The sequence below is a fragment of the Homo sapiens genome, chromosome 20 (genome assembly GCF_000001405.40).
Source record: "Homo sapiens chromosome 20, GRCh38.p14 Primary Assembly".
NCBI lineage: Eukaryota > Metazoa > Chordata > Mammalia > Primates > Hominidae > Homo > Homo sapiens.
The window spans coordinates 849,337-868,291 of NC_000020.11; the positions used below are offsets into that span (position 1 = coordinate 849,337).

General features: G+C 46.5%; 1 annotated feature.

The window, feature by feature from the left end:
* Positions 6,814-7,800: an enhancer, noted in NCBI's record as "H3K27ac-H3K4me1 hESC enhancer chr20:836793-837779 (GRCh37/hg19 assembly coordinates)". NCBI's record gives its function as "activates a minimal SCP1, AML or CMV promoter by ChIP-STARR-seq in naive H9 embryonic stem cells {active_cell/tissue: H9 hESC(naive)}" and the evidence as "EXISTENCE:reporter gene assay evidence [ECO:0000049][PMID:30033119]".

Sequence of the window (18,955 nt, forward strand, 5' to 3'; positions counted from 1 at the left end):
CGTGGCACATACATATCTATGTAACAAACCTGCACATTCTGCACATGTATCTCAGAACTTAAAGTAGAATAAAAATAAAATAAAAGGTAATATTATTTTTCAGATAATTCACTCATATATTTCTTCCAACATTTTATTAAGAAAAATTTCAAACATAGAGTTGAAAGAATTAGACAGTGAACATTCATATACCCACCTACTAATGCACACTTGTTAATATTTCACTATATTTGCTCTATCAGGAATCTACCCATCTCTCCATCCATTAATACAACTTATTTTTTTAATACAACTTATTTTTTAATAAAGCTTTTCAAATTAAGTTGCATATATCAGTACACTTCCCTTAAAGTCACTTTAGTGTGCATGCCATTAGCTAGAATTCAATATTTGTTTGTCTTGTTCCTCTCTAGGTAACATTTACATGGAATGAAATGCACAGATCTTAAAGGTGCCATTTGCTGAATTTAGACAAATGCATACTGTACCCCAAACCCCTATCAGGGTATCAAGCATTATCACCTCAGAAAGTTTCCTTGCATCGCTCTCCTGCCGATTGCTGCCTGCCCACCATGGACATATTTTTATATCCATATATATCAGTACTAACAAGCAGCATCCCTTGTCCTTTCCTCTACATCAGCCTCGCTCCCCAAAAGCAACCACTTACAACTTCTTAAACTATTTCTTCTGGTACTTTCCTCCATATTTTTAAATAACTTGCTTTTCCTGCTGTTTTCTTGATCAATTTTAGGCATACACACACACACACACACACACACACACACACACACACACATATATATTTATTTTTTTTTTGAGACAGAATCTTGCTCTGTTGCCCCGGCTGGAGTGCAGTGGTGTGATCTTGGCTCACTGTAACCCCTGCCTCCCAGGTTCAAGCGATTCTCCTGCCTCAGCCACCTAAGTAGCTGGGACTACAGGTGTGTGCCACCACGCCTGGCTAATTTTTGTATTTTTTGTAGAGATGGGGTTTCACCATGTTGACCAGGCTGGTCTTGAATTCCTGACCTCAAGTGATCCACCCACCTTGGCTTCCCACAGTGCTGGGATTACAGGCGTGAGCCAGTGTGTCTGACCAATTTTAGGCACATATTGACTGACTTTCTGGTCTGATGTTTTCATAGTGTGGCCTCCACTGCCTGGCTGCCTGGCTTTGGATCCCAGCCCTTCCTCTTTCTGGCTGTATGACCTTGGGCAGTAACTTAACCTCCTTGGGCCTCAGTTTTCTCATTTGTAAAATGAGGGTGATAATAATAGTGCTGAGGTTATTGGATTGTTATACGGATTCAAGATGTAAAAGGCTGAGAATAATGAACATCACCCAGTGAGTAGTCAAACTTTTTCTTCTCATAATCATTATTATCAAGAAAGATTTAGCTTTTGGTTCCCCCCTTTCAATTGGCATTTATCACAATTTTTTGTGAAGTGGATTTTAGTGTTATTTATATTATGACTATGTAAATACTGTTTCCTTTCAAGCCAAGTCATATATTTTGGTTACATTTCCTTTCTTGTACAACTCTTTGTTCTTCCTGGAGTTACTACTCGCTTTGCTTTTTTTCATTTGCTGTTTCCTCTTAACCCATCCTTAATTCTCTTAATTCTTTGACACCCTCAGTCTCCCCATAGTTAACATTACACATCCTGAAACTCTTCAAGTGCTTTTAAAGAAGCATCCCCATCCATTTAAAAAAAACTGGAGCCAATTTTTAAAATAGAATCTCAAATACAATCTGTAAAATAAAGATTTGTGAGCATCCACTATGTGCCAGGAGCTGTGCTAGGCAGAGTGGGAAGGTAGCCAAATAGGGGATATCCCTGCCCATGTGGGTTTCCAAGAGGGATGAAAACTGAAGCTCCACACCCCCAGCCTCTGCATTTACCGGGGAACACCTCAGCACCTCTAGGAATCTCAGGACCTCAGGGAGCCCAGATTTACTTATTTGTAAAATGAGGATCATTTTGTCATTCTGCAATCACTCCTTAACCATGTTGTCTGGGGCTGTGTTGTGGCTGCTGGGTATAGAGCAATGATCTCCCCATCCCTTGAGGGGCTCACAAGAGCTGTGGGATAGAGCGGAGGCTGTGGATTGCAGCGGAGCAATGGGAGCTGGGGAGCGGGTTTCCCAGAGGAAGTACCATAGGACGAAGAGGGTCTTGGTGGGTAAGGGCAGTAAACGGCTGTTATGTTCCAAGGGCTGTGCGAAGAACTTCCATGTATTGTCCCATCAAATCCTCCCAAAGACCCATTGAAAGGGGTCATATTTTTATCACAATTTCATAGATGGGGAAACTAAGGCCAGGAGAGTCCAAGGCCAGGGTCACACAGCTAATAAGCGGCAGAGGCAGTATTTGAACCTATGCAGTTGGGTTCTTAACCACACACTGCACTGTCTCTCACATCCAGATGCCCAGCTCCTGTCCCCACCTCATCCTGTATCTGCCTCGTCCTCTCCTGTCTACCCACTGGTGCTAACCTCTGGCTCATTCCATGCCCTTCGCTTTATTCATCCATTCATTCAACACAAATCTACTGGGCGCCTTTTCCACGCCCAACCCTGGGCTGGGCAGTGCCAGGGACATAGAGCTTGGGCAGTATTGACTCACCCATTCCCAGATAGGCATTGACATTGACATGCAAGCGGCCAGGAAAGTTGTCTAAATAAAGGGGTGTTTGGGGTTGAGTGATGGCTGTGTGTATGTGTGTGTGTGTGTGGCCTGCAAGGGGTGTGTGTCAGTGTGGCAGCAACAGACTTTCTGTGGAGGCCATTTATGAAGGCATATCTGTGTACCCTTGAGAGTGTGTTGTCTGCAGAGGGTGTGTCCACCAGGTATGTGGATCAGTGAGGCTCTGCTGCATAACAAACCACTCTAAGCCCAGAAGCCTAAAACCACTTATTAGCCTGTGTGAAGTGGCAGTCTGGCCTGGGCTTAGCTGGGCAGTTCTGGTTTTACCTGGGTTCACTTGCCTTGCTGCAGTCAGCTGAGGGTGGGGGCTCTGGGAGGGCTTCACTCACATGCTTAGCAGTTGGCAGGCTGTTTGCTGGGGTGCCTCCATTTGCTTTGATGAGGCTGGCTTGGGCTCATGCTTATGGTGACCTCAGGGTTCCACATTCAGCAAGAGAAGATAAGCTCCAACGCACAGTGCATTTTGAGCCTCTACTTGTGTCAAGATTATAAATGTCCTAATAGCCCAAGTGACATGTCAAGTCAGATTCAAAGGATGGAGAAATAGACTCTCTCTCTCTCTCTCTCGGTTGTGTTTTTGTTCTTTGAAAACAAGCCCGGCTTGCCTGGCTCCATCGCCCAGGCTGGAGTGCAGTGGCGCGATCTTGGCTCGGTGCAACCTCCGCTTCCTGGTTCAAGCAATTCTCCTGCCTCAGCCTCCTGAGTAGTTGGGACTACAGGTGCGTGTCACCACGCCCAGCTAATTTTTGTATTTTTAGTAGAGATGGGGTTTCACCATATTGGCCAGACTGGTCTCGATCTCTTGACCTCATGATCTGCCCGCCTTGGCCTCCCAGAGTGCTGGGATTATAGGCATGAGGCACCGCGCCTGGCTTAGAATCCATCTCTTAGTCACATTACACAGGGCATGAGTACAGATATGGAGGAATTATTGTAGCTGATTTTCAAACAACTTACCTGTGTGTGCAGGTAAAGAACTAGGGACAGTTCTCAGTTTTGGAAATAAAAAAAACTCTGGGCTGCAGTCCTGGCTCTTCCGTCCTTGCTGTCTGACCTTAGTCAAGTTGTCTCATTCTCTGAGCTTCCGTAAATTGGATAAAATTGAATGAAACGAGATGATCTTTATAAAGTGCTTGTGCTACTCATTTGTTTACAAACGCAGCACATATTTATTGAGGCCTCCTATATACCAACTACTGGTCCCACCCCGAGGATATTGCAGTGAACAAAATGGACCAAAACACCTGCTCTTGTGAAGCTCACAGCCTAGGTTGTAGACAGATGTTAATTGATCATCCTAATAATTGTATGACCATTGAGAGTAGATTCCGGAAGGAGAGATTGCTGACCTGGCCAGGTTGATCTGAGAAGCCAAAGATATTTAAGCTGAGATGTGAAGGGTAGGTAGGAGACAACGAGGAGAAGAAAGATAGGAGTGGAAAATGATTCTAGATGGAGGGCATGTGCAAAGGCCCTGTGGTGGGAGGAGTAGATTCCAGGAACACAGAGAAGGTGGGTGGGGCTGGGCCTGAAGCACCAGGGCCAGATGGTGTGGGGCTGCTGGAGCCTTTGAACAATGTGAGGGTCTGTCTTGCCAGGCAGCCTAAAATAAAACCGAAAGGCCTAACTGCTCCACAAGGCCCTCATGATCGGGGACCTTGTTACTCCTCCAGTCTCCCCTTTACCTACTCTGCTGCAGCCATGCTGCCTCCTTCCTGTTCCAGGAACACCCTGGACACATTCCCACCTCAGGGCCTTTGCACTTGCCATTGCCTTTACTAGTATCGACCCTACCCAGATATTCTGATGACTCATTCTGTCACTTCATTTCCATCTCTGCCTCTTCAAAGGGGCCTTCCCTACCAACCCACCACAACCCCCCTGCCCCTCCAGCTAAGCAGTCAGCATCCAGCAGTCTCTACTTCCCTGGCCTGGTTTATTTCTCTTCCTAGCACATATCACCTCCTGGCTTATATTAACCAGAGGCCACATTGTCTGTTTCTCTTCTGGATCTCTCACCAGAGTGCAGCTCAGCAGGCAGGGACTTGGCCTTGCTCTAGGCTGTGTCCTCAGCCTCAGGGGAAGAGTAGGCATTCCATAAACATTTGTGAATAAAGAAATGAGTGAAAATGAGTGAGTGAATGCTGGAAAGAACTAGCTCCTGGAAATTAGGAGGTCTGGGTTCAAGTTCTAGCTGGGCGATCCTTTCTGTTCCTTGGTTTCTCCAGTTGAGCTGTGAGGCATTTGTGGTCTCTAGGGAGGTTCTAGGACAGGAAAGGAGTACTCCAGGCTGTGGAGGGGGCCTATGTAGGAAGAAGGGAGCTGGGGCCTTCCCTTTGGCCTTCTGGCGTTTGAAAATAGCCTAGCTCAGCCCCTAGCTTGGGCCCCTACCCTCCCTGGGGTGCCAAGCTGGAGCCAGGGGGCTCTGTCTGGAGCCTGCCAGCCTGGTGCCGGGCTGGGATCAAGGCCACCTGACAGCTGGGCCAGGCAGTCCTGGAAGGTTCTTAAGGGCAAACAGGGCATGCTGGATGTCCCAGACCTCCCTCCCCACCTATTGTCCCTCCTCCCTCAGTGTCCACCGGCAGGATAAATCCCTTCATCCTCTACAGGCCTGCAGCCCTTGCAGCTTGCAAATCTTTTTCTTGGTTTGTTTCTAATTTCACCCCTGCTCAGTAGCTACTTTACTGGTGAGGACACTGAGGCTCAGAGATGACAACTGCCTCACTGAGGTTACGTTGCAGTTATGATTCAGGCCCAAGTCTTGCCCAGCCCTGTCCTGTCACCGCGTGCACGTGTGTGTGTTTGTGTTTGTGTGTGTGTGTGTGTGTGTGTGTGGTCTCACTATCAAACAGTGCCCTCCCTTAACCACCAGTGCCCCGGGTCTCTGATAAGATGTGATGACTATGAGCACCTGGAGCCAGGTGGCCTGGGTTCAAATCCCACCTTTGCTACTTCTATACTGTGTGGATTGCTGGGCCACCCCCACCTCAGTGTCTGCTAATAGGACAAATCCCTTAATCCTGGGCACTGGGGCACTATCAGGACTAGCATTGTATACATTGCACAGGTTTTAAAAAATGTAATCTGTAGGCTGGGCACAGTGGCTTACACCTGTAATCCCAGCATTTTGGGAGGCCCAGGTGGGTGGATCATGAGGTCAGGAGCTCAAGACCAGCCTGGCCAACATGGTGAAACCCCGTCACTACTAAAAATCCAAAAATTCACCAGGCATGGTGGCGGGCACCTGTAGTCCCAGCTACTCGGGAGGCTGAGGCAGGAGAATCGCTTGAGCCCAGAAGCTGAGGTTGCACTGAGCCGAGATTGTGCCACTGCTCTCCAGCCTGGGCAATAGAGCAAGACTCCGTCTCAAAAAAAAGGTAATTTGTTGTCAATATTTACACATCTAAACCATTGGAAGAATAATGTATATATAAACTAGCTAATGAACACCTACCAAGCCCCAAGCACCAACTGTATGTCCAGTACAGAGCCAGCTGCTCCAGGGGAGTTCGTTCCTGGGAGGGGGCATCATGATGAAGTGGGCGTGGTTCCCATTTCCTCCAGCGTAGTCTCAGAAGCGGGAAGCCATGTGACTGAGGTTACAGCCAGGGAGGGCAGAGGCCCCCGGCACTCACCCCTCTGGGGTCCAAGCCCCGCTGGCATGTGTTGTGTCCCTGGGTAGGTGTGTCACTCCCTGTCTGTGTCTCCAGTGTTCCTGTTGGCAAATCAGGGGTGGGACGGAGGTAAATGGAGAGGCCCTGCCCAGTCTGCTGTAATCCAGGATCTCGGACTTAGTGGGGCCAAAGCTTCCAAGTTCTCCTGATTAGTGAGGCTGCAAAAAATGTTTGGCATGTTATTCTCTCACCGTTTAAATGTGGGCAAGTAACAACTTACATGTAAAATTACCCCCATATACCAAGCATTTAAGTTATTTATTATATCATTGCTTACAATAGCAAATAATTGGAAATTATTTGAGAAATGGCTAAAGAAACTCAGGCCCAGGTACGCAAGGGAATCCTAGGCAGCCCTCAAAAGATGTCCTGCAAACACCTGATGTGGAATCACAAGATACACAACACAGGTCAGTGAACAAAACAAGTTGTGGCATGATACCCACAGTGTGCTGCTGCTTGTGGAAGCAGGAACACATGTCCATGTACTCTTGTACTGGCACAGAACCCTGGAGAATTATCCTGGGAACCCTGCATGCTGGCTGCCCCTGGGGAGGGGAACCCGAGGGTTGGGCTCAAGGGTGGGAGGCAAGACTCACTACTTTGCACACCTTTTGAATTTTGAATCATGTGAATGTGTTATCTGTGCAGAAAAAATAAAAATACATTTAAAGTAAAGTGAAAGTAGACAAGAAACCTGAAACAGAGACGGACAAGCAAGCCTGCAGGCCCAGCCAGCTACCGCCCCCGGGCAACCTCATGCCACACTGTGGGCTCTGCCCAGCTTGGTTTTGTGGCTCCACCCTCTACGGTCATATTTGGGTTTCCACACACACAGCACCCAAAGGAAATCCCAGCTAACGCACATCAGGTTCTGGGCTGGGCCACCCGCCAAGGTGGTTGGTGGGCATGACACCGCCCCGGGAATGGCGTCGTCCAAATGCCTGAGCAATGACACGGCCTCAGATGGAATGATGCCACTGCCCACAGTCTCACAGGCCCTCCCATCTCGCCTTTGTTCTGCAGCCTCCAGGTGGGTGTATGGACACTCCAAAACAGCCATCCCTGTCAATGAATCAGCCTGCAGGGACTGAATTCATTCCTTCATTCATCAATATCCATTGAGCACCTACTGTGTGCCAAACACTCTTCTAGGAACTGAAGATGCAACAGAAAACAAAACAGATAAAAATCCCTGCCCTCGAGGAGCTGACATTCCAGAGGGGACACAGACAATACTTGCCAGAGTGAAAATGCTAAGGAGAAAAATGAAGCAGGGAAGGATGGGGAACTAGAGATTTTTTTTCCTTTTTTTATTGAGGTTGAATTGATAAACAATAAAATTGGCCCATTTTAGGTGTACAGTTGGATGCATTTTGACAGTTGTATGGCACTACAGACAAGTGCTAGAATTCCTGTATCATCCCACCATGTTCCTTCACGCCCCCCACAGTCAGCCCCTGACTCCCACCCGCTCCCACCCGAAGAAACTACAGATCAGTTTTCTTTCACTGTAGATCAGCTTTGTCTTTCCCAGAGTTCATGCAAATGGAATCTGGCTTCTCTCAGTCAGCATCATGGACTTGGTTGAGATTCGCCCGTGTTGCTGAGTGTATCTGTAGCTTGTTCCTTTTTACTGACGAGTAGTATTCCACAGTGTGGATGCACTGTATTTTGTTTATTCATCCAACTTGTTGACGGACATACAGGTTGTTCCCATTTCTTGGCTATTACAAATAAAGCTACTATAAACATTTGTGAACAACTCTTTGTGTGGATGCATATTTTCATTTCTCTTGGGTAACTACCACGGAGTGGAATTGCTGGACCTCGTGGTAAGGGTAGCTTTATTAGAAGCAGATCTCATGCTTTTAAACAGGATGGTCAGATAAGGTGTCACCGGCTCGGTGATATTTCAGGAGAGGCCAGAAGGAGGTAAGGGGTGTCTGCAGGGAAGAGTGTTCTGGGCTGAGGAAACAGAGTCAGTATGTGCCTGGAGTGTTTGAGGAACAGCATGGAGGCCATCAAGGAGGGAGTGAAGGACGTGAGGGGAGAGGGCTAGGAGGTGTGCTCCATGTGGAATGAGGCTAGATGGTATAGGGTCACATACATCATGGTGAGGACATTGGTATTTTTTTCTTTTGACATGGAGTCTCGCTCTGTCACCCAGGCTGGAGTGCAGTGACACAATCTCGGCTCACTGCAACCTCCGCCTCCTGCATTAAAGTAATTCCCCGGCTTAGCCTCCCAAGTAGCTGGGACTACAGGCACGTGCCCCCACGCCCATTTTATATTTTTGTAGAGATGGGGTTTTGCCATGTTGTCCAGGCTGGTCTCAAATGCCTGACGTCAGGTGATCCGCCCACCTCAGCCTCCTGAAGTGTTGGGATTACAGGTGAGAGCCACTGCACCTGGCTGAGGACATTGGTTTTTCCTCTGAGAACCCGTGGGAGGAATCTGAGCAGAGGTGGGACAGGATCAGACTTGCATTTTAACACCTTCCCCCATCTCCAGCTACCAAGTGGAGAATGGGCTGCAGGGCTGCAGGGAGGAGGCTACTGTAATAGTCCTGGCAGGAGATGAAGGAGTTGGACTGGGGTGGAGGCGGTGGGGGCTGAGGGGTGTGGGATTCTGGATCTTTCTGGATCTACCCCGAATGTGGAGCCAACAGGGGATGTATTGGACGTGGGATGTGGGGAAAGTAGGGACATGAAAGAAGGCTAGGACCCAAGGTGACCTCTAGGAACTGAGAGTGGCCCTCCAGCTCCCAGCTGGCAAGGAAACATGCATCTCAGACCGGCAACCACAAGAAGTTGAACTGTGCTGACAACCAAAGGAACTTAGAGTGGACCCTGAGCCGCACAAAGGATCACAGCCTAGCTGACACGGTGATTTCAGCCTGGTGAGACCTAAGCAGAGAAGCCAATCATTTCATGCCAGGACTTCTGACCTGCAGAAACTGTAAGAAAATAAATGGGTGCTAAGTCACTAAGTTTGTGATAATTTGTTATGTAGCAATAGATGACTGATACGGGCATACTAGAATCCTACAGTGTGAGAGCTAAAAGAGTGCTTAGCAACCACTAAGCCCACCCCCCCCATGTACATATGGGGAAACTGAGGCTCAGAGAGCACAGAGGACTTGAGGCGTGGTTCCTGAAGGGAGGCGACATCAGGCAGAAACTGTCCCAGCTCTGGAGGTGTCGCGAGTCCCAGCCTCTCCTCTCTTAGGAGGCTGTAGTACCTGCCCCTCTGCCAACCCCTGCTCATCAGGACTCCCAGAGAGCCAGCTCCTGGCTACCCACTATCTACCCTCGGCTCCCCAAGCAGCGAGTTCAGGCAGGCTCCCCACTGGTGCAGGCCCTCACCCCCACAGCAGAGCATGGGCCAAGGGTGCACGAGCCAGGCCTGAATCTGAGACCCCAGGGAAGAGAGGAAAAATCACAACCTTGGGCCTGGCTAGAATCCCAACTCTGCCACTCACCAGCTATGTGACCCTGGTTGAGGGACTCCCCTTTGCTGAGCTGCAGTGTCCACATGTATAAGATGGGAGTAGGGATGCTTTCCTCCAATGGTCAATGAGCTAATGAAGGTGAAACTCTTGGCGGGAGCACTGTAAATGCATGTATCCAACCTCTTCCTCTGCATGGGCCTCAGCTTCCCCATCTGCTAAAGGGTCTTGTGTTCTTGATGTGTTTGGGGGGGCCCTTGCAGCTCTAACTATATGAGGATTCAAATTCCGGCTCTGCTTCTCACTAGCTGTGTGACCTTGAATATGTTACTCAAGCTCTCTGAGTCCCAGTTTTCTCACCCATAAAACGGGGCTATTAATAATACCTCCTATTACAGGAGAGATGCAGGTCAGATACCTAGTAGAGTGACTGAGAAAATGTTAGCTAGTTGTGTTATCATCATGATCACCATTTCTAGTGTGTGAGTTTGGTTGTGCCTGCTGGAAGGGGCAACAGGGCCGAGCCTCCCAGGGTGAGAAAGTTTGGTTTTCTTAGAGACAGACGTTTGTAGGCTGAGCAAGGCATGCGTGCATTTCTGGGAAAACAAAATTAGTTCATTTCCCTCCAAATCCCTGCCTGTGCAACCACCTAAAGCCAGGCTCTGAGTATCACAGTGCTTATAAGTGGTAAACCCACAGGCAGGTTTGTGAAAATGAAAATATGCATTTATTTCTGTTCCCAGTTCTGAGAACTACTTCCTGTTTCCCTCTAGAGGAAGGCAATGGCTTGTGCACATGCCTGGAGGTGGGAATGTGTGTCATGGACACAAACTGGGGTGGTTATCACTGTGATGTTCCCACTGGCCATGTCTGAATTGTGCACGCAATCCTCTGACCATAGCTGATTCACTGGTGTTAACAGACACCTGACGGCAGGCTGGGCACTCAACAGTCTCTATTGGAAATTTGAAACTTGAATGGGGCACACAGACAGAGAGTGGCTGGAGATGCATCATTCCTGGCCAGCACCCTAGAGAGGAAAGCCACAGGCCCTGCCCCTGAGCTCCCCAGAGATGCCTTTTCCTGTTCTTCCCACAAGAGTACTCGTTTTGGGGGTTTGCTCTTCCCTCATCCTGGAAATGCCTTTCAATAAATCCACTGCTGGGCTCCTTGGTTAGTCAGTTTTTCGGTGTTTGCCACCCAGTTCACCTTGGCCAATGTGGTGACTAGGGAGACAGCACTGCTGGGGGTTAAGGGGAGACTGTGCAATGGAGCAGTGGCCCTCTGTGGAGTAGTTCTGGGCAGAAAGAGCACTGGACCCAGAGTCTGGTTCTTCATGATGTACTGCCATGTGACCTTGGGCAAATCACTTAACTTCTCTGTCTGGGATGGAACCAGGGGGCACCTTAGTAAGCAGATGGGGACACTAAGGATCAGAGAGAGGAAAGGCTTTACTTAAAGCCACACAACAGGTTTAGGACAGACCCGGGAGAGCTGGGCCCTGCAAATCCCAGCCCTCAGAGGGAAAATTTCCTGGGTTAGGAAGCTTATTTCTAATTATCACCAGGACCTGTTTACCCCAGGTGAACAGGGTCCCCAGGCACTTGGCAGATCACAGATTTCTTTCCCAACCAATTGTCACATTTGGCCTTGGCAACAGCATCAATGGCCCAGGAGGGGGCTGAGTAAACTGAGCCCAGAGAGGGACAGAGTCTTGTGCAGGGTCATACCACAAGTTCATGGCAGAACTAGAGTCTGGGCCAGATCTAAAAAAGTGTTGCTTTTTGCTCTAAATTTAAGGAGGGTGAATTGGGGGTAGTGGCTAATGAGTTCTCCAGAGGAATTTTTAAACTGTTTGCTTTCATTTTGATGATAATCCTAAACATGTAACTCAAGCATATCATGAATCATCTGCAGAGCCACAGGTAAGTCCTGCCTGAGCTTGCGTTTGGACTTGGGATCACACTGGCAGCAAATAATAGCATTTGTTGAGAACTAACTATGGCCCAGGCACTACGCTTTGCATTTTTTATCTATTTTTTAAAATTTTATTTAATCCTCACAACAACCCTATAAGATAAATGCCATCAGCATCCCCATTTCACAGATCAGGCAGTCAAGGTGCAGAGAGGTTAAGGTTAAGTAACTTGAAGCAATGTTAACAGCGAGCCTGTGATCTTGCCCACTACACTTTACCATTGTAATCGGAGGAGAAAATGGCAGAGGTGGCTTTGATATGTAAAGATGAATTCCTGCTAAGTGAAGGCCAGTGATGCAGAAGTACAGGGTGGGGAGAAATTTCACCATGGGTGAAATGGTGCCAAATGGTGGGAGAACAAAGCCATCATCAGCATGCAGAGTTGGGTGGAAGTGCGTGACAAACCCAAACAAAATGGCATCGCAATTGAGTGTCCCACATTCACACTGCTGGTGGCAACTCTGGTTTAGCAAAGCAACATCAACCATATCATTAATTAATTAATATTGTTGCATTGATGATATGGCAGCATAGCTTAATGCTTAGGGATGCAGGCTTAAAACTCATAATTTCTGACTTCAAATGTGTTTTCCTCTTGGCCTAGTCCTCAGACTATGGGCAAATCACTCAACCTCTCTAAGCCTCAGTTTTGTTCATCTTTAAAATGGAATTGTAATAGCACCTGATAGACTGCTGATTGCCTATGCAATTCCCTTCTTTTCCTGTTTTTTGTTGACCAAACCCTGATTTTATTCCCGATGGTGATATATCTAGCTAAGTAAGACTTTATTCCCAGCCTCTCTTACAGCTACTGGTGGCCAGCGAGTGGAAGTTATTCAGTGAGAGACTTCTGAGGACTATCCCTAGAGGGGGCCAATGCATCTGGGAGGAAAGCCCATATACTCTTCTTTCTCCTTCTTCCTATATGGAACTCAGGCATTATGGCAGCAGCCCCAGCAGCCATCTAGGATCAAGAAGTGACCTTCAGGATGAAGACACATGATAAGGATGAAGCAACATGAGGCTGGAAGGAACCTGAAACATTGATGATACCATAGAGACTGCAGCAGCCCTGGGCTGACTCTTCCCTGACTTTTTTTTTTTTTTTTTTTTTTTTTTAAGTCAGCCTTTTATTTTAGGACAATTTTAGATGTAAGAATCATTGCAAAGATAGTACAGAGAGTGCCTGCATACCCCACACCCAGTTTCTCCTATTATTAACATCTTATAGGCCAGGCGAGGTGGCTTACACCTGTAATCCCAGCACTTTGGGAGTCCAAGGTAGGAGGATCACTTAAGGCCAAGAGTTTGAGACCAGCCTGGGCAACAGAGCAAGGCCCTCTTCCTACAAAAATAAAAATAAAAAATTGAGCTGGGTGTCATGGCATACCAGTAGTCCTAGTTACTCAGGAGGCTGAGGTGGAAGGATTACTTGAGCCCAGGAGTTTGGGGCTTCAGTGAGCTATGATCACACCACTGTACTCCAGTGTGGGTGACAGAGCAAGACCCTGTCTGTAAAAAAACCCGAAAACCAAAACCAGAAAATCTTATATTAGGGTATGATACATATTAAAACCAAAAAATCTTATATTAGGGCATGGTACATATGTCACAATGAATGAGCCATACTGTCATTATTAACTGAAAAGCCCATACTTCATTCAGATTTCCTCAGTTTCTCCCTAATACCCCTTTTCTGTTCCAGGATCCCATCCAGGCTCCCACATTACATTTAGTTGTGTCTCCTTAGGCTCCACCTGGTTGTGACGGTTTCAAAGACTTTCCTTGTTTTTGATGAACCTCATAGTTTTGAGGACAACTGGTCAGGTATTTTGTAACATGTTCCTCAATAGGGATTTTTCTGGTGATTTTCTTGTGATTAGACAGGGGTGATGTGTTTAGGGAGGAAGACCGCAGAGGTGAAGTGTCAATGTCATCGCTTCAGATGGGGGGACATTCTATCAATACGACTTCTCACTGTGGATGTTGACCTTGATTGCTGGCACGTTTCTCCACTGCAAAATCACTGTTTCTGTCCTCCATTCAACGCCATACTCTTTGGAAGAAAGTCACTCCATGCAGCCCGTGCTTAAGGAGTGGGAGTTATGTTCCACCTCCTGGAGGGTGACGCACTTAAGCTACTTAAGCTAATAAGTATTTTTTATGTAGCAAAAGCTAACAGATAAACAAACCCTTTTGTTTCGTAGATCTATGTTATTTGGGTTTTCTATTACATGCAGTCAAACCCAATTTTAAATGGATGCAGAATTTATTTCTCAGGGAGGTTGTGATAATTGAATCAGAGAGGCAGGGACAGTACCTACAGCAGTGTTTGGGTGAATAAACAGTAACAATAATCATCGTTGGCCAGGTGTGGTGGCTCATGCCTATAATCCCAGCCCTTTGGGAGGCCAAAGCCAGTGGACTACTTGAGCCCAGGAGTTTGAGACCAGCCTGGGCAACTTGGCAAAACCCTGTCTCTACAAAAAATACAAAAGTTACCTGGGCATGGTGGCACATGTCTCTAGTCCCAGCTACTTGGGAGGCTGAGGTGGGAGGATCTATTGAGCCTGGAAGGCAGAGGTTACAGTGAGCTATGATTGCATCACTGCACTCCAGCCTGGGTGACAGAGTGAGAATCTGTCTCAAAAAAAAAAATCATGATTATTAATAACTTAATTATAAATAATAATAATTATTATTAGTTTTATAGTGCATTAGTATTTGATTGATAATTTTGTTTCAGTCTTTTTAGTTGTTTGGGAACTATAAGCCTAAGGAGTTGATAGCTCACTTCATGAATGCACACAAATAAGTAGTTTACCGTCAATGCCCTCCTAAGGGCCTAAGATCAACAGGAATGCACCTGTAGTTAAACAAGTGGTTCTATTACTCACTGGGACAAGAAAGTGCACAGCATGGGGAACCTTGGAATGTCTTAGTGAGAGTGTTAGAAAAGGCTTATTATAGGATTGGTCTCGTGTTAGGTGACTTGAATAGGGTTTGAGGATGTGGGGTTTTTCTTCAGATTGGATGCTCTCAGGAAGTGAGGGTAATTATGCAGTTGCGATCTTAACAAGTCTTGTCTATAGAGAAGGCAGACTCTGGCAAGGCTAATGCTGTCATTGGGAAAGAAGCAGCGGTCACTTGTATTAGCTGGGACTGAGGGGTGTTTGGTCATTTTCGTGGCTTGGAAATGTGCATGATTTGTCTTTGTTCAGACATGATTACAGAGTGTTCCACTTTTCGTCTTGATTCATCAATCACTGAGGACCTCATCTGATGTTGGTGTTCTGGGGAATCATTAACATTGGACAGGACATAAGCTGTTCTCTGTGCATGTTGGGCTGACTTGCAGCAACACCCAGTCCTAGCTGATGACTATCCAGGATGGCCCCTGGATGTCAGGGCTGCTTTCCTCTTTCTCAATTTCAGTCAACATTAGTGGGTCTGAGAGGATCCCTTCCTCCTTTTAAAGCTCTCCATATATTAAGTTGGAGCAACAAGCTCATTCCTGCTCAAACTGGGCAGGCATTTTTAGATTCTTTTCTGCTCCCAGAAGTTTTCCTTTCCCATTATTTGGTCTTGAGCTGGTCTCAGGAAGAAGTAATGAAGGTGAGAGATCTGCAGTGGGATCCTGGGAAAGGTGGCACATGTGGATCACTGAGGCCTGGGCTCGGATGGTGAGGATTTGAAGATTCCCAAAGGCCACACCTAAGGGTCACCAGAGGGTGTCCAGCCCCCATTATCCAGATGGGGGAACTGAGACCCAGGAGGGAAGGGCTCTGTGTTGGGTCCCAAGGTGTGCCATTCCAATTATCAACTGCCCTCCCTTACCTGACTGGCAGAGTCCCTTTCTTCCAGTTTGACGGAAAATACTGTTTGGCTCTTTTTTTGTGGGATGGAGTGTAGAAATTGGGGAAAAGAAGAAAATATAAAATCTTACATTAAGCATCCTAAGCCAATTCATGTGGTCGAAGAAGCAGAAAAGCAGCAGAAAAGCAGCAGAATGCGATGCCAAACACATCCTCTGTAGGCACGTGTGTTATACCAGGTTGCTGCGAGGGCCCAGAGGACACATCTGTTGTAGCTGAATAAGTTCCAGTGTTGAACCTCAGCACACACATGCGCATCTGGGCACCTGTGCACAGAGCTTGTATGCACAGAGCAGGAACACATGCATGCTACAAAAGGATCAAGAGTCAAACTCCAAACTGGCTGCCCTTATTGATAACTTCCAGCTGATGGAAGGTGGAAAGGCGAAGGTAGATGTGTTTTGGATATAAAAGGTCTGTCTTCTCTGTTTACTGTCTATGTGACCTTGAGCAAATTGATTGACCTCTCTAAGACTCAGTTTTCTGCAATATAATATGGTTCTCTTCTCTCAGAGTAAGGATGGAGTTCAGTGAGGAAACAGAAATGTAAGCATTGCATCATTCGGAATGCTCTGGGCTGCAAGTAACAGAACACCAACTCCACTGGCTTAAATGAAAAAGAAATTGATCATCTAGAGACAGGACTCAGGACCTCAATGATGTCAGTAAAGCTCCAGGCCCCTTCTGACCCTCCACTCAACCACTCACTCTCCCACCTCCCTGTCAGATTGGTCCCAAATGTGGTTCTCCTGGTGGTCCACACTGGAGTAGCATCCATGCTGTGTAGTGTCTTCTCCATCAACAGAAGAGAGAATCTTTGTTTTTCTTTTCTTTCTTCTTTCTTTTTTTTTTAGACAGAGTCTTGCTCTGTCTTCTAGGCTGGAGTGCAGTGGTGCGATCTCAGCTCACTATAACCTCTGCCTCCTGTATTCAAGCAATTCTTGTGCTTCAGTCTCCCAAGTAGCTGGGATTATGGGTGCCTGCCACCACTCCTGGCTGATTTTTGTATTTTTAGTAGAGACAGGGTTTCATCGTGTTGACCAGGCTGGTCTCAAACTCCTGACCTCAGGTGATCCACCCGCCTCAGCCTCCCAAAGTGCTGAGATTACAGGCATGAGCCACCACGCCCAGCCAGCAGAAGAGGTAACTTTTCTGTATCCCTGAAACGCTAAGTCTTCCTCTTTAGTATGAGTGAACTAATTGAAGTCACATGACCAGCCCTGGCAGTAGGAACCATGGCCAGGGGAATATCATGTGCTGACTGGCTGCAGTTTTGGTCCCTGAACACATCAGTGGCTGGGGGACCCCTTCAGACTAAAGGACCTAGCCCTGCAGCTGGGGACTGATATTAGGAAGGGAAAGGGAAAGGGCATGATTCATGTCCCTCACTGCTCAGGGTCTTGCTGTGTAGCATCTCTTCTGAGATGTGGGTCAGACAGGGTGTTGGCCATCGCTAGAAAGGACCCCTCCTACAAGGACAAGACTTGAACAGGGATCCTGAAGACTTCTGGGGTTTCTATCTAGAGTCCAAATGGGTCTCTAGAGTCAGCCTGTTGACAGGCTGAGTTGAGTGGCAGCATCTCTAGTGGATCTGGCTCTCTGCCTGTGACCACTTGTGTGCATGAGCAAGTGCCTCACAGACCTGCATGTGTACATGGAAGATGTATTTTTACCTCCATGTTTGCGTCTGTAGCAACAAGTATGAAATGCACATACATGTTCATGCACATGTCAATGTACGTGGCTACCACACAGTAGGTATACTGTACAGTGTAACCATACAGTGTTTCAAATATGCATATATGTTCATATATGTGCATATATGCAATATCTGGATAGATGTATATGGCATAATGGCATATTTATATATTAATAAATCAATCATTTTAGAGTATTAACTATATATGAGTTATATTATGCCTAAGATATATTAATAAAAACAATGTTTGTCAAGTACTTGCTATATGCCAGGTACTATTCTAAGCACATATGTTCTAAATTAATATATGTATTACTTTAAGGATACATAACCTAGTGTCTTTTTGGGGTCCATGGATGAAGTGTATCTTCACTCACCTTTAATTAAATTCGGTTGTTTCATTCTTCATTTGTGAATGTAGGGCATTCACAAATTCACAAATTCATTCTTTCAATTGTGAATGTAGGGCACAAGCCACAGTAGTGTCAGGAGTGCCTGGAACTTTGTCACCATTAGAAATCATAGCTATTTTTGTATCTTGTTATAATGATTATAGATATCTCAAAATATTAACAGTCATCATTTGTTTTGACCTACCACTGATCTTGTTATTTAATGTATTAGCAAAGAAGCATATATAGTACAATATCAAAACTGTGTTCTTTAAAAAAAAAAAAAGTATATATATATATATGTATATGTGTGTGTGTGTGTGTGTGTGTGTGTGTGTGTGTGTGTGTGTGTGATGAAGTCTTGCTATGTTGCCCAAGGTGGCCTTGACCCCCTGGGCTCAAGTGATCCTCTCACTTCAGCCTCCCAAGTAACTGGGACCCAGCTTAAAATATTTTGATGACAGTATATATATATTTTTTGAGACAGAGTCTCGCTCTGTCACCCAGGCTGGAGTGCAGTGGCACAATCTCAGTTCACTGCAAGCTCTGCCTCCTGGGTTCATGCCATTCTCCTGCCTCAGCCTCCCGAGTAGCTGGGACTACAGTTGCCCGCCACCATGCCTGGCTAACCTTTTTTTGTATTTTTACTAGAGACGGGGTTTCACCGTGTTAGCCAGGATGGTCTCGATCTCCTGACCTCGTGATCCGCCCGCCTCGGTCTCCTAAATTGCTGGGATTATAGGCGTGAGCCACCGCGCCCGGCCAATGACTGTGTTTTTAATATAATTTGTTTCATTCATAATCCAATGCATTTAATTTTATTTTAAGCATGTGAAGACACCATTCTGAGGAGGGGTCCATGGCTTCACCAGATGCCAAAGACGCCCATGCCACAGCAAAGAAAAATTCATTGATCAATCCTTCAATGACCCCATGAAGCAGCAGTGTTACCAGTTTGCTACAGAGGGGAACCTGAGGCACAGGGAGGTTGTGCAACTTGTTTAAGGTCACATAGATATCGAGTGGTTGTGCATTATTATATCTGTCAGTTGTTTTTATAGCCTATGGGCTGATGTGGGCTTGTCCTTTGTGTCACATCAGAAAGCAAGTCTGGTCAATTATTTTCTTTCTCAAGGTTAAGTGAGATCAAGAAAAATAATACACATATATTGCA